Source organism: Homo sapiens, chromosome 3 (assembly GCF_000001405.40).
Source record: "Homo sapiens chromosome 3, GRCh38.p14 Primary Assembly".
NCBI classification, from domain to species: domain Eukaryota; kingdom Metazoa; phylum Chordata; class Mammalia; order Primates; family Hominidae; genus Homo; species Homo sapiens.
The window spans coordinates 120,860,686-120,873,854 of NC_000003.12; the positions used below are offsets into that span (position 1 = coordinate 120,860,686).

A 13,169-nucleotide genomic window follows, 5' to 3' on the forward strand; every position below is an offset into this window, starting at 1 on the left:
AATGATGCCATGCTAAAACTGAGCTTTATTTAGATTATTTGCATACTTTTTGTGTGTTTATCTTCTGTCTTCCTCTAAAAATGCTTTATTTAAAGTGGCATACAGAGAACAGTAATGCTAAGAGCTTGTGTTTGTTTAAAATTTTGTAATTATAAAGCCATTTTGAAACATCATTTTTCAGTAGAATATTATAGTGATGCAGGCAGAGGTGACATTATTATCCCCATTTTCCAGATGAGGACACTGGAAATCTGTGAAGTTTCTGCTTTGCTTTGAGTGAAATAACTAGTAAATGATGGATTTAGGATTCAAACTTGGATGTTCTAACACCAAATGCTCATTCTTTTTATACCTCTGATGGTATTAAAAGTAGTATAATGAAACAAGTCTCCTGTTGTTGAAGGTAAATTACTTTAAACTTTAAATTTACACAATATCTCATAAGCTGTGGTTATACATGTAGCCACATCTTGGCAGTTAAGGAATTAGGATCTCATCTGAAAGGCGAGATTATTACAGAAATAAAGTACCTGGGAAGAGGAAAGTTTTTCATATTAGAAATTGGATCAGTAATAGATTGCAAGCAAAAGTCACCTAGTCTTGCTTAGTTTAGCTACAGATGATTAAAAGGAACTCTTGGTGGAGATTACTAAGAGGATACTTTGAGGCTATGCACATTTCTCAGACAGCAGGTACATGCAGGACAGACAGCAGGAGTATCAGGAACCTGTGCTTGGAAACTGTATTGTTTTTATGTTTTTGTACTCTTTTATTTCCCTTTCTCCTCGTCCCTTCCTATAGTAGAGTTGTACTGAAGGTTCTATCCTGCCTAAGCCATGCCAAAGGAAACCAAGGAAAGGGGTTTTCTTCCTATTTTGGTTGGAGTTTTATTGTAGACCCCTGAGGATTCAGAATGGGGGCATCAATGGGAAGGTGAACCCCAAGGACACAGAGTTGGGGTGGGGTGGTCAGTTGTCTCCTCCTACCTAGAGATCCCATTCCTTGAAATGTCAGAAAAATGTATTCTTTTATTTTTGTTTTTTATTCCCCTTCTTTTTTTTTAAAATTATACTTTAAGTTCTAGGGTACATGTGCACAACATGCAGCTTTGTTACATGTGTATACATGTGCCATGTTGGTGTGCTACACCCATTAACTCGTCATTTACATTAGGTATATCTCCTAATGCTATCCCTCCCCCTACCCCTAACCCACGACAGGCCCCGGTGTGTGATGTTCCCCACCCTGTGTCCAAGTGTTCTCATTGTTCAATTCCCACCTATGAGTGAGACCATGTGGTGTTTGGTTTTCTGTCCTTGCGATAGTTTGCTCAGAATGATGGTTTCCAACTTCATCCATGTCCCTACAAAGGACATGAACTCATCATTTTTTATGGCTGCATAGTATTCCATGGTGTATATGTGCCACATTTTCTTAATCCAGTCTATCATAGTTGGTTCCAAGTCTTTGCTATTGTGAATAGTGCCACCATAAACATACGTGTGCATGTGTCTTTATAGCAGCATGTTTTATTATACTTTGGGTATATAACCAGTAATGGGATGGCTGGGTCAAATGGTATTTCTAGTTCTAGATCCCTGAGGAATCACCACACTGACTTCCACAATGGTTGAACTAGTTTACAGTCCCACCAACAGTGTAAAAGTGTTCCTATTTCTCCACATCCTCTCCAGCACCTGTTGTTTCCCGACTTTTAAATGATTGCCATTCTAACTGGTGTGAGATGGTACCTCATTGTGGTTTTGATTTGCATTTCTCTGATGGCCAGTGATGATGAGCATTTTTTCATGTGTCTGTTGGCTACATAAATGTCTTCTTTTGAGAAGTGTCTGTTCATATCCTTTGCCCACTTTTTGATGGGGTTGTTTGATTTTTTTCTTGTAAATTTGTTTAAGCTCTTTGTAGATTCTGGATATTAGCCCTTTGTCAGATGGGTAGATTGTAAAAATTCTCTCCCATTCTGTAGGTTGCCTGTTCACTCTGATGATAGTTTCTTTTGCTGTGCAGAAGCTCTTTAGTTTAATTAGATCCCATTTGTCAATTTTGGCTTTTGTTGCCATTGCTTTTGGTGTTTTAGTCATGAAGTTCTTGTCCATGCCTATGTCCTGAATGGTATTGCCTAGGTTTTCTTCTAGGGTTTTTATGGTTTTAGGTCTAACATTTAAGTCTTTAATCCATCTTGAATTAATTTTTGTATAAGGTGTAAGGAAGGGATCCAGTTTCAGCTTTCTACAGATGGCTAGCCAGTTTTCCCAGCACCATTTATTAAATAGGGAATCCTTTCCCCATTTCTTGTTTTTGTCAGGTTTGTCAAAGATCAGATAGTTGTAGATGTGTGGTGTTATTTCTGAGGCCTCTGTTCTGTTCCATTGGTTTATATCTCTGTTTTGGTACCAGTACCATGCTGTTTTGGTTACTGTAGCCTTGTAGTATAGTTTGAAGTCAGGTAGCATGATGCCTCCAGCATTGTTCTCTTGCCTTAGGATCGTCTTGGCAGTGCAGGCTCTTTTTTGGTTCCATATCAACTTTAAAGTAGTTTTTTCCAATTTTGTGAAGAAAGTCATTGGTAGCTTGATGGGGACGGCATTTAATCTATAAATTACCTTGGGCAGTATGGCCATTTTCACAATATTGATTCTTCCTATCCATGAGCATGGAATGTTCTTCCATTTGTTTGTTTCCTCTTTGATTTCCCTTCTAAGAGAGAATCTCTGAAAAGAAGATTGCCGAGAGTGTTCACATGATTTGTAGGAGAGATGAGTCAGAATGAAGGGGTATGGGAAGGAAAAATTAAATAGTTATTTTCTAAATACAGAATTTAAAAATATATACTAAAAATAAAATTGTTTAAAATATTAATAAAAAGTTCAGAATGAAGTTTTTCTCTATTGCTCTCTAGCACTTGCATTTCCCAAACTCCAAAGAATATTTTCTTATGTAACAATCTGCACAATGTCAGTTGACAAGCAACACAGTATAGTTCTCAAATACAAAAGTAAAAATCAGGATACCCATCCATTTTCCCAAGCTGAGAAGAAGAAAGAATGAAGAGATTTCTTTGCTTATAGAGTTCTAATTTAAAAGTTGGGAAGTTTTCCTATTCTGCTGATTAAGACTTGAAGCTTGGGGGTAAATAGTGGTTGCAGCAGAAATCTGCCCCTTAGGGACTGGAATCAAGAAGCATATTGCCCTAATACTTAAAACACATGAGAGAGCGAGAGAGGGAGAGAGAAAGAGAGAGAGAGAGAGAGAGAAAGGAGGAAGAGAAAGAAAGAGAGAAAAAAGAATAAATAAATCTAAAAACAAAAATATGGCAATTAGAATATGGATTTCCACAAAGGAATTTAAAGATCATTGATAGGCAAGGGTTTAAATATATATGAGTGTGAATACTGGACCATATTTCAACAACATTAGCATGTCTTCCTAGCTTATATAAATTGCCATTGAAGTTTTACTTATGTGGTGTTATTGTATAATCACCTGCTTGACCTTGGCAGTGAAGTGAAACTTGTAAGACTAGAAATTTGTTTACATTTAACCCATCTCTACATTGGTATGTGCTGTAGGTTGGCATTTATATGCAAAGTAGCCAATTATCTATGTTTTTCTTTGTTTACCCTACAGCAGAATGGTGAAACCAATTTCTTGCATGTATAATTCAAAGAAATTTAATGCTAATGAGGAAAAAGAAAGATTCATATACTGTCCAAAATGTACAATTCCACTGCTACTGGGATGACCAAGTGCATTTTTGTATGTAAGAAGTTCATTGAAGTTTATTTTTAAAAAAGAAATCTTTCATAGATATAAGAGAGGAAGAACCACACAAAAGACAAGTTGCATTTCTCACCCTTCTCTCTCCAGATGTTCTCCTGTTGCTGCTTCTGCAAAGTGAACAGAGAGAGGTAGCCAATTAACTTCCTTGAGTAACCAAATATTTAAAACAAATGAATACACAAAAACCTTTCAGCGGCCTTCATTTGTAGGCAAGGTAACCACAGAGAATCAGTCAATAAATTGACCAAGCACTTGTAAGAAGAATGTATTTGTCACAGGGCTATGCTGCTCACTGGCAGCGCACCTGACTGGCTTCTTAACCCGGCCAGCTCCTTTGTCCCAAAACCAGGCTCTGCTTCCTTTCAGGGTCTTGGAATAAGTCCTACCCAATTTGTTAATTTGAGATCAAGTCCGATTTGTTGCTGGCCCCTCTCTAACCCTGGTGTCGCATCTGTTCCTGGTTGTGTTTATTTCCTATCTCCTAATTACACCATTGACTGAGCTTTCTGCCAATTTCTTCAGCTCTCATGTTATTCTCTGAAGCTTATGTATTAGTTTGCCAGGGCTGCTATAACACAGTACCACAAACTGGATAGCTTGAAAAACAGAAATTTATTGTCTTACAGTTCTAAAAGCTAGAAGTCTAAAGTGTCACCAGGGTTGGTTCCTTCTGAGGGCTATGAGAGAGAATCTGCTCCACAATTTTCCCTTAGTTTCTGGTGGTTTGCTGGCAATCTTTAACATTCTTTGACCTGTAGAGGCATCACCTTGATCTCTGCCTTCAGGCTCACGTGGTGTTCTCTCTTTATAAGGATATCAGTCATGTTGGATTAGGAGCACACTGTACTTCATTATGACCTCATCTTAACTGATTACATCTGCAGGGATACTATTCCTAAATAAGGTCACATCTGAGAAACTGGGGCTTAGAACTTCAATGTATCAATTTTGGGGATACACAATTCAGCCCATTCAACCCATAACAGCTTATTAACTCTTGTCCTAATTTCCAAATGCCCTGCTTGATTTCTGCCAATGGCCTATACATGATTTACCTTTGATTGCTTATTTTACTACACACCCTTCTTAGATTTGATTTGAACTTCACCTGACTGTACTCATGATCTTCCTGCCCTCTTTTTAGGACACTAATGTCCTAGGTCTATATTTACTCTGAGATTTACATCTCATTGTGTCTAGCTCTGTGTGGTGGGCAGAATAATGGTTTCCCGAAGACATCCAAGTCCTACTCCCCAGAATCTACACATATGTTAGGTTCCATGGCAAAAAGGAATCAAAGTTGCAGATGGAATCAAGTTTGCTAATCAACTGCCTTTAAAATAGGGAGATTATCCTGGATTATCCAATTGGGCCCAATGTAATCAAGCTTTTAAAACTGAAAGAAGGAGGTGAAAGAAGACAGAGGAAGATATGTGCCAATGGAAGCAGGGTTAAAAAGATGCTTTGTTACTGGCTTTGAAGATGCAAGAAGGGGGCTTCAAACCAAGGAATGCAGGTGGCCTCTATAGATGGAAAAGGCAGGAAGATGGATTATTTTCTATGGCTTCCAGAAAGCTACACAACCAAGCTGACACCTTGATTTTGGTCCAGTGAGACCCATGTTGGACTCCTGAACTACAGAATTATAAGTAAATTTGAATTGACTTAAGCCACCAAGTTTGTGGTAATTTGTTAAGGCAGCAATAAAAATCCAATGCATCTTAAAATAAAAAATTCCTGGGCATGCCCTCATATTTAGATGCCAGCCTTTATCCTACCCTGAAAGTTCTTCCTGTTCTCCTAGGCTTATTCCAATTAATTCATTTCGCCACTACTTCAAAACTTAGAATTAACATGCATTAGATGCAACATGGTGTAATAGAATTTGCCTAGGTGTTGGAATCAGACTTGACTGCAAATTCTGATTCTGTTACTTTTTAGCTGTGTGACCTTAGATAAATTATTAAACCTTTCTGAGCTTCAGTTACCTCTTTTTTATCTACAAAATGGAGATAATAAGACATACCTTTTACTGTGAGGATTAATAATAAAATCTTTAAATGCACCTAACACGATGCATTGTACACGTTAGGTATTCAATAAGTAGTAACTATTCTTAAGGTGTTTTAAATTCTTAAGCCCACCATTTAATTTTTCCAGCACATGTTATTTTTAAAGCAAGGCTCATTTTATTTTTATTATTATTTTTTTTTGAGACAGGGTCTGTCTCTTGCCCAGGCTAGAGTGCAGTGGCACAATTTCAGCTCACTGAAACCTCCACTTCCTGGCCTCAAGCGATCCTCACACCTCAGCCTCCTAAGCAGCTGGGACCACAAACACGGGACCACATCCGGCTAATTTTTTTTTTTATTTTTTGTAGAGAAAAGGTTTTGCCATGTTGCCCAGGCTGGTCTTGAATTCTTGGGCTGAAGCGATTCCTGGCCTTAGCCTTCCAAAGTGCTGGGATTACATGCATGAGCCACCGCGCCTGGCCAAGTCTCATTTTAGATTCAAAATATAAACAAGTAATGGGATCTTGAAAGGAAGAATCAGTGAGGCATTGTGTCTTATAGTACTTATTGGTAAATGGATAAATATTCAGGAATAAGAAAACATAAAATGGTCAAAAACATGTCCAATTATTTTTTGTAGGAGACACCCTGAAACAGAAGAGGACAGCACTCAGGAGACTGAGTTAATTGTGAAATGTGTGCTGTCCTGCAGTAGGCAGAGAATGGGAAGATATTTGCTCTGTTGAATAATGACGTAACTAACTTGAAAGCATTTTGGAAGATCATATGCATGTCTCCTTTTGCCTTCAAAGGACTTTACATCACATGGCCTAAATTTGCTTCATCATGTCATCATGAAGTTGAACGCCATAAAAGATATTTAGGAAAATGGAAGTTATAAAATATGTAAAAATTACTTATAACAAAGAATAGTTTATTGAAAAACTATTTTTAGAAGTTTCTTCTGGTTTTCTGTCCTTGTGATAGTTTGCTCAAAATGATGGTTTCCAGCTTCATCCATGTCACTGCAAAGGATATGAACTTATCCTTTTTTATGGCTGCATAGTATTTTATGGTATATATGTGCCACATTTTCTTAATCCAGTCTATCATTGATGGACATTTGGGTTGGTTCCAAGTTTTTGCTATTGTGAATAGTGCCGCAATAAACCTACGTGTGCGTGTGTCTTTATAGTAGCATGATGTCGCATGTTCTCACTCATAGGTGGGAACTGAACAATGAAAACACTTGGACACACGGTGGGGAACATCACACATGGGGGCCTGTTGTGGGGTGGGGGCAGGGAGAGGGATAGCATTAGGAGAAACACCTAATGTAAATGACGAGTTAATGGGTGCAGCAAACCAACATGGCACATATATACCTATGTAACAAACCTGCACATTGTGCACATGTACCCTAGAACTTAAAGTATAATAATAATTTAAAGAGTTTCTTCTATTTAAAAAAGAATCGGGGGAAAAATGAATAAGTAACACTGAAACATTGCAGTAAAACTTGATAGAGTGAAGTAAAAATTTCCTTTGAGAGTTAAAAATGATTCTTCAAGAAATAGCAATAGTTATTGAGGATCTTACTGCACTCAGAAAAACAGGGGCAACCCCCCTAAGACAGTACCTTCTGAGCTTAAGTGCAGAGATATGAACTTCATAATATTTTAAAACCATGACATTAGCAATCACTGCATCTGGCTCAGATAGTGCAGTTTTAGCTAATATTTGTCAACTAAATGAGTAGAATAAACTCACCTCAAAATACATTTTGAATCTCAAGAACCAGAGAACATAAGTAAAATACTCTTATTAAGAAATAGTAGTTGCCATCAGTCAATTCTTGTTGCTGCAAATTTCTTAAATCTCAAATCTAAAAAGAAGAAATATATGAAGTTAGCCATATGATCACATCTTACAGGACTAGAAAACAAGTGGTATTACAGTTGGAGCAACAGATGGGGTCCAACAGATAATTCCAGTTGCAGAGAGCAAAAGAGGTGGGTAGAGGTGAAGTCAGAACGGTAGGTGTAAGGTAGACGCTCTCCAGAGGGTAAGGGAAGCTCCACGATGGGATAGAAGTACAGCACCTGAAAGAAATACATACTTCCCTCCTGGGGAAGAGCCAGAAACCAGATTCAGAAAGATTGGAGGTCAGAGTGTGGCATCAGAATACATGTGGTGCACAAGGAAGCGAATGGGATTCATGAGGAAGTAAGAAGGTACTAGCTACGTCTAAGGGAGAGAGGAATGAAGAAATAGAACCAGGAACAACAAGATGTCACTCAGGATCACTGATCAGGAGCAGAGTAGGGAACACACCAGGGAGTTTTAGAATCCAGCAGGCAGTTACTCCTAATGATGAACTTGTGGGCATAGCCTATTTTCCATAACATCTTCTGTCCACTACTTTCAATTTGTAAAATGGTCAGGCCTGGCCAGGTGGACAACAGTGTGAGTCTTGGCGAGTAACATCTTTGTGATTTGATATTACAAAACAAAATGTCCTAAGGTAGTAGGTCCCAGGACACAGTCTGGGGTTCTGCCAAGCAAATAATTCCAGAAACGTGATGGCAAGGCCTGTGCAAGCCAAAGCCATTGGTGCCTCTTGCTTCTTATCTGATGAAGATGTCCTCAACTTCTTCAGCTAGTGACAAAATTAAACACTCACTCCAGACCAATACATAAGCCAATTTGTGATAGGACAGATAAACTTGTTTTAATTTGGGAAATTCTATAAATTTTAGAAATATGTGAAATGAAATAAATGAGATATCAGATGCCCAGAGTCAATTGAGAACTTCCTAATTCATCTCAGTTACTGACTTATATAATGATGTCTGGCAAATGGCCTTGGACAAGGAGTTCAAGTCCCAAATTGCATTTATAATTCCAAGTGGAATATATTGGTGATATCTTGATCTTTGTGTTGGGAACACCCTAGTCTCATTTCAAAGATTGATAAATGGGTAGTTATATGATGTAAGAGTGTTTGCTCTCGCTTACCTAGATAAACAAGTAAGTAGACCTAGCTACAATACAGAAAAAATCCCAAAATGTTGCAGGTTAATGCTACATGCAACCCACATCTAATCAGAAATTGTATTATTTTAATTCTGCCTCCTAAATATCTCCCAAACAAAAAAATAATTTTTTCCCTCAACTTACTGTGACATTGACCTAGTTCAAGCTCCTTCACCTGGACTATTAAAGCAGCTTCTTAATTTTTTTCCTATCTAGCTCTCCCTTATTTCTTCCAATTTCTTTTCCATACACAGCAATTACTGTTTTTCTAAATATCTAACCTGATAATTTCATTGCTAAGATTCAAACCTTTAATGGTACCCAGTTTTTTTGTATAAAGCCAACTTTCCTTAAAATGGTCTATGAAGATGTTCATAATCTTCTTGTCATTTGCTTTTCCAATTTGAATTCCATATTTGAGCCCCAATGAACAACTTTTAGCTCCCAAATGTCATGCTGTCTCACCTCTGAGTCTTGCACTTTATGTTTTCTCTGTCTGTAACTTTCTTCATTGCCTCTTTCCTACTTCTCTCTTCTTTCAGATTTTATGGCTAATTTCTACCCACCTCTCAGGTTTGGGCAGGCAAACTACTTGTGCTCACCAGTATCCATCTTTCCTTCTTTATCCTTGGCACGTGGCTAGACTACATTTCCTAGTCTTCCTTGCAGTTAGGTGTGATCATATGACTAAATAAAATGTGAGTGGAAGTGGTATGCCTGCCACAAGCCCATTAAAAAAACCTGCCACAAGAAACCAAACCTTCCTCAACCTCTCCATCCACCCATCTGACTGGAAAGGACTCAGAGGACTTTGAGGAGAACAGAGTCCTAAGAAAGGTGCCTGGGACTTTCATTTGACTGTAACATGAGCAAGAATAAATCATTAGTGTGTGGAACTGTGGAGAACTTGGGGTTGTTTCAGCAGCTGGCATTGCTATCCTTAAGTGACTCAAGGTTTTTGTTGACATAACTTTGGGAAACCTTCTCTGGTTGAAAATATCTGTCTTCTGTACTCTACTATAAGCTTGGTAAGGGCAGACACCAATATCTTATTCACTATTTTATCTTTTGTTCTTATTACAGTGTCTGTACACAATGTGTAAACACCCCAAAATATCTGTTGAATGTTAAATCAATGGGTTTTAACATTGAAGCTTAGAGAATTCACATTTCAGTTTCCAGAGATTAAACATATATGATTAAATTTAGAAAGTACATTTTATTCCTTTATTTGACAGAGCAGAAACTATGAAAACTGGGAAATTCTTACATCTAAACAAGCAAACAACTTGAAAGACCAAATCAGCATTTTGGGACAAGGAAGTTAGTACAAAGAGAGGTTTACATTTTGATACTTGAGCTTTTGAAAAGCTGAAATAGGCTCTAATTTTTCTTATCAATTTTCAGAGCTCTAGGCAATTCAAACCTGTTCAAAGTGTCAGTTGACATGTCCAGTAATGGTAGGTGCACTTTGTTACAAGACCACAAAAGGCAATAGTTGTCTACTTATGAGAAAAATATTGCCAAGAGAAACTTGTCATCTCTATAGCATTAATATAAAACAATTTGTAGTTATTGAATACAATGGATCTCCATCTTAGGCCAAGGTTTTTTTGTGTGCGAAGTGATCACCACTTTCTCTCCTAATTAGGGTATGATGGACTTTAGAGTAGCCCATAGAAATCATCCTGGAAATAGAAAAATGAATGAATTTTCAGAAAGAAAAGAGGGAAGAGAAAATGAGTGGGAGGGAGAGAGAAAGAGAGACAGAGACAGAAAGATCACATACTAGAATATTCTCTATGTGAATAAAGAGCCTAAGATTTTCACACTTCATTGACCTTCCTCAACTAGAAGAAAGTCTGCTGCTGCTGATTTTCACTAAAATTAATTATGGCATGGATAGGAGAGAACAAGGAGAAATAAGTATTCAAAATTTACTAAACTTCTATATTTCTTTTATTTATAAGAAATTATTGGATTTTTTTACCTTACCTCTTTGCTAAAGGATTGCAAAAAAATATGGTTTCAGATTGCATATTTAAGGCAAATGAAATTAGCTATATGTTCTAAATCTATTATTTGTTTCTTTCTTGCTACAGAAGCCTGATGACTGGTATGCCAATTATGACACCTTTCCTTTCCTATTCTTTTCAGCTTGGGGTAGCCACATGATCCAGTTCTCTCCAATGAGACCTAAGGTGAAATCTGTTGATGAAATTTCTGGTGATTTTTTTTAAATAAAAAGGAACAGATGCTGTTGACACTGTTCTCCCCTACTTCCAGCCCCCAAAGTATTCTTCTTACTTTGAATGCAGATATGGAGTCTATAGCTTCAGAGGCCATTTTGCTACTATGAGGCACTAAGCATGAGGATAAAATCCAACATGATTTGGATGATAAAGCTGAAAAATAGAAAGAGCTTAGGCTTCTGGCATTGTTGAGAAGATTAACTAATACCAGCAGAGAGAAACATTTATCTCTAGGCTCTCTGTAATATGGGAAAAATAAACCACTGTATATTTAAGCCTTCATTAGTCAGATTTTCAAAAACATTCAAACACTTGGCCAATACATAGAGACAGAAGAGTAGAGAACATATTGAAACATATTTAAAACTCACGCCAGATTCCAGTGCATACCTTTCTCTTGCTGATTGGCCAGAATAGCCTAGGATTCAGGATTTATGCACATTTGGATATTCAGTTTAATGGCAGAACTGTGAAGATGAGAACAATGAGTGAAAACCATTTAGTTAAGAAATGCTGTTGCCAGTTACTTAAAAACAAAACCTGTGCAAATTTTTAAAAAAATGTTTTATAGGCTGCAAATCAAAGAAAATACTGAGGTGAATTTCAATCATTTTAGAGGTTTATTTTGCCAAGGTTAAGGACACACTCAGGAAAAAGGAACACACACATACAAAATACAAAATTAGCTGGGAGTGGTGGTGCACACCTGTAAACCCAGCTACCTGGGAGGCTGAGGCTGGAGAATTGCTTGAATCCAGGAGGCGGAGGTTGCAGTGAGCCAAGATCGCACCATTGTACTCCAGCCTGGGCAACAGGAGTGAAACTCCATCTCAAAAAACAAAGCAAAGCAAAGCAAAGCAAAGCAAAGCAAAGCAAAGCAAAGCAAAGCAAAGCAAAGCAAAGCAAAGCAAAGCAAAGCAAAGCAAAGCAAAACAAAACAAAACAAAACACCCAACCAACCAACCAAACAAGAAAACCCCCCCAAAACAAAACAAAACACAGGAACAATCTGTGATTCATGCTTTTTCCACAGAGGATCTGGGAACTTCAATATTTAGGGGGAAGAGCAGGCAGTAGGAGAAAGAAGAAGGAAAATAAAAAGAGGGAAGGGTAGATAAAGGGGGCAGCTGTTGCATTCTCTTGAGTCTTCAATTAGTGTTCACTGAATCCACATCTTATATGTGAAAGGAGCGGGTAGAAGAACAGGCAATTATGCATTCATCTTGTGCTCAGTAACTCTGTATTTTTACATATGATAAAAAAAGAGTTGAGGAAGCAGTCAGATATGCACTTGTCTCTGGTGAACGGAGGGATGACTTTTAGTTTTCTCGTTTGTCCTGTGGCTGTGACAATAAGCTGTCAATTTACATTGTCAGGGTGAAATTCGACAGATTTGTTTTAGGATAAAGATCTTGGGGTTCACAGGGAATTTTCTGGTGAGCAAATTGTGAGGGAGATATGTAGCCTTTTATCTTTGTAGCTATCTATTTAGGAACAAAATGGGAGGCAGGTTTACATGACCTAGTTCCCAGCTTGACTTTTCCCTTTGGCATAGTGAGTTTGGAATCCTTAGGTTTTATTTTCCTTTCACAGGCAAAAGCATGTTTACAAGAACATAGATACTATATCAGATGGGACTGACAGACTGAGATATTATTCTTACATGTGAGGCTTTTTTTGTAGTTATTCAGGATTAAGAACAGGATTGGTCATCAAGTCTGGGGCACAGCTGTAGATGAAGAGTTAAATGCTATAAAATATTTGCTTTAACATATTTGAAGAGATTTCTTCTGAGCCATATATGAGTGACCAATGGCCTGTGACACAACTGTCAGGAGATCCACCAAGGTGGTCGGGCTATAGCTTGGTTTTATACATTTTAGGGAGACATAAGACATCAATTAATACATGTAAGATGTACATTGGTTTGGTCTGGAAAGGCACGACAATTCGAAGTGGGGGCTTCCAAATTATAGGTAGATGCAAAGATTTTCTGATTGGCAATTGGCTGAAAGGTTAAGTTACTGTCCAAAGACCTAGAATCAATAGATGGGAATGTCTGGGTTAA

The 13,169-nt window shown here is 37.7% G+C and overlaps 1 long non-coding RNA gene across 2 annotated transcripts in view; it reads right to left on the reverse strand.

Moving 5' to 3' along the window:
- Nucleotides 1-1,008: 1,008 nt before the first annotated feature.
- Nucleotides 1,009-13,169, reverse strand: part of LOC105374069 (uncharacterized) — a 46,400-nt gene continuing 34,239 nt past the window's right edge. For both annotated transcript variants that reach the window (XR_924399.4, XR_924398.4), the window contains exons 3-6: nucleotides 11,492-11,568; nucleotides 7,584-7,698; nucleotides 3,875-3,908; nucleotides 1,009-2,732 (exon numbers count right to left, since the gene is read on the reverse strand). This is a non-coding gene — a long non-coding RNA (uncharacterized LOC105374069). The remainder of the gene's footprint in view (nucleotides 2,733-3,874; nucleotides 3,909-7,583; nucleotides 7,699-11,491; nucleotides 11,569-13,169) is intronic.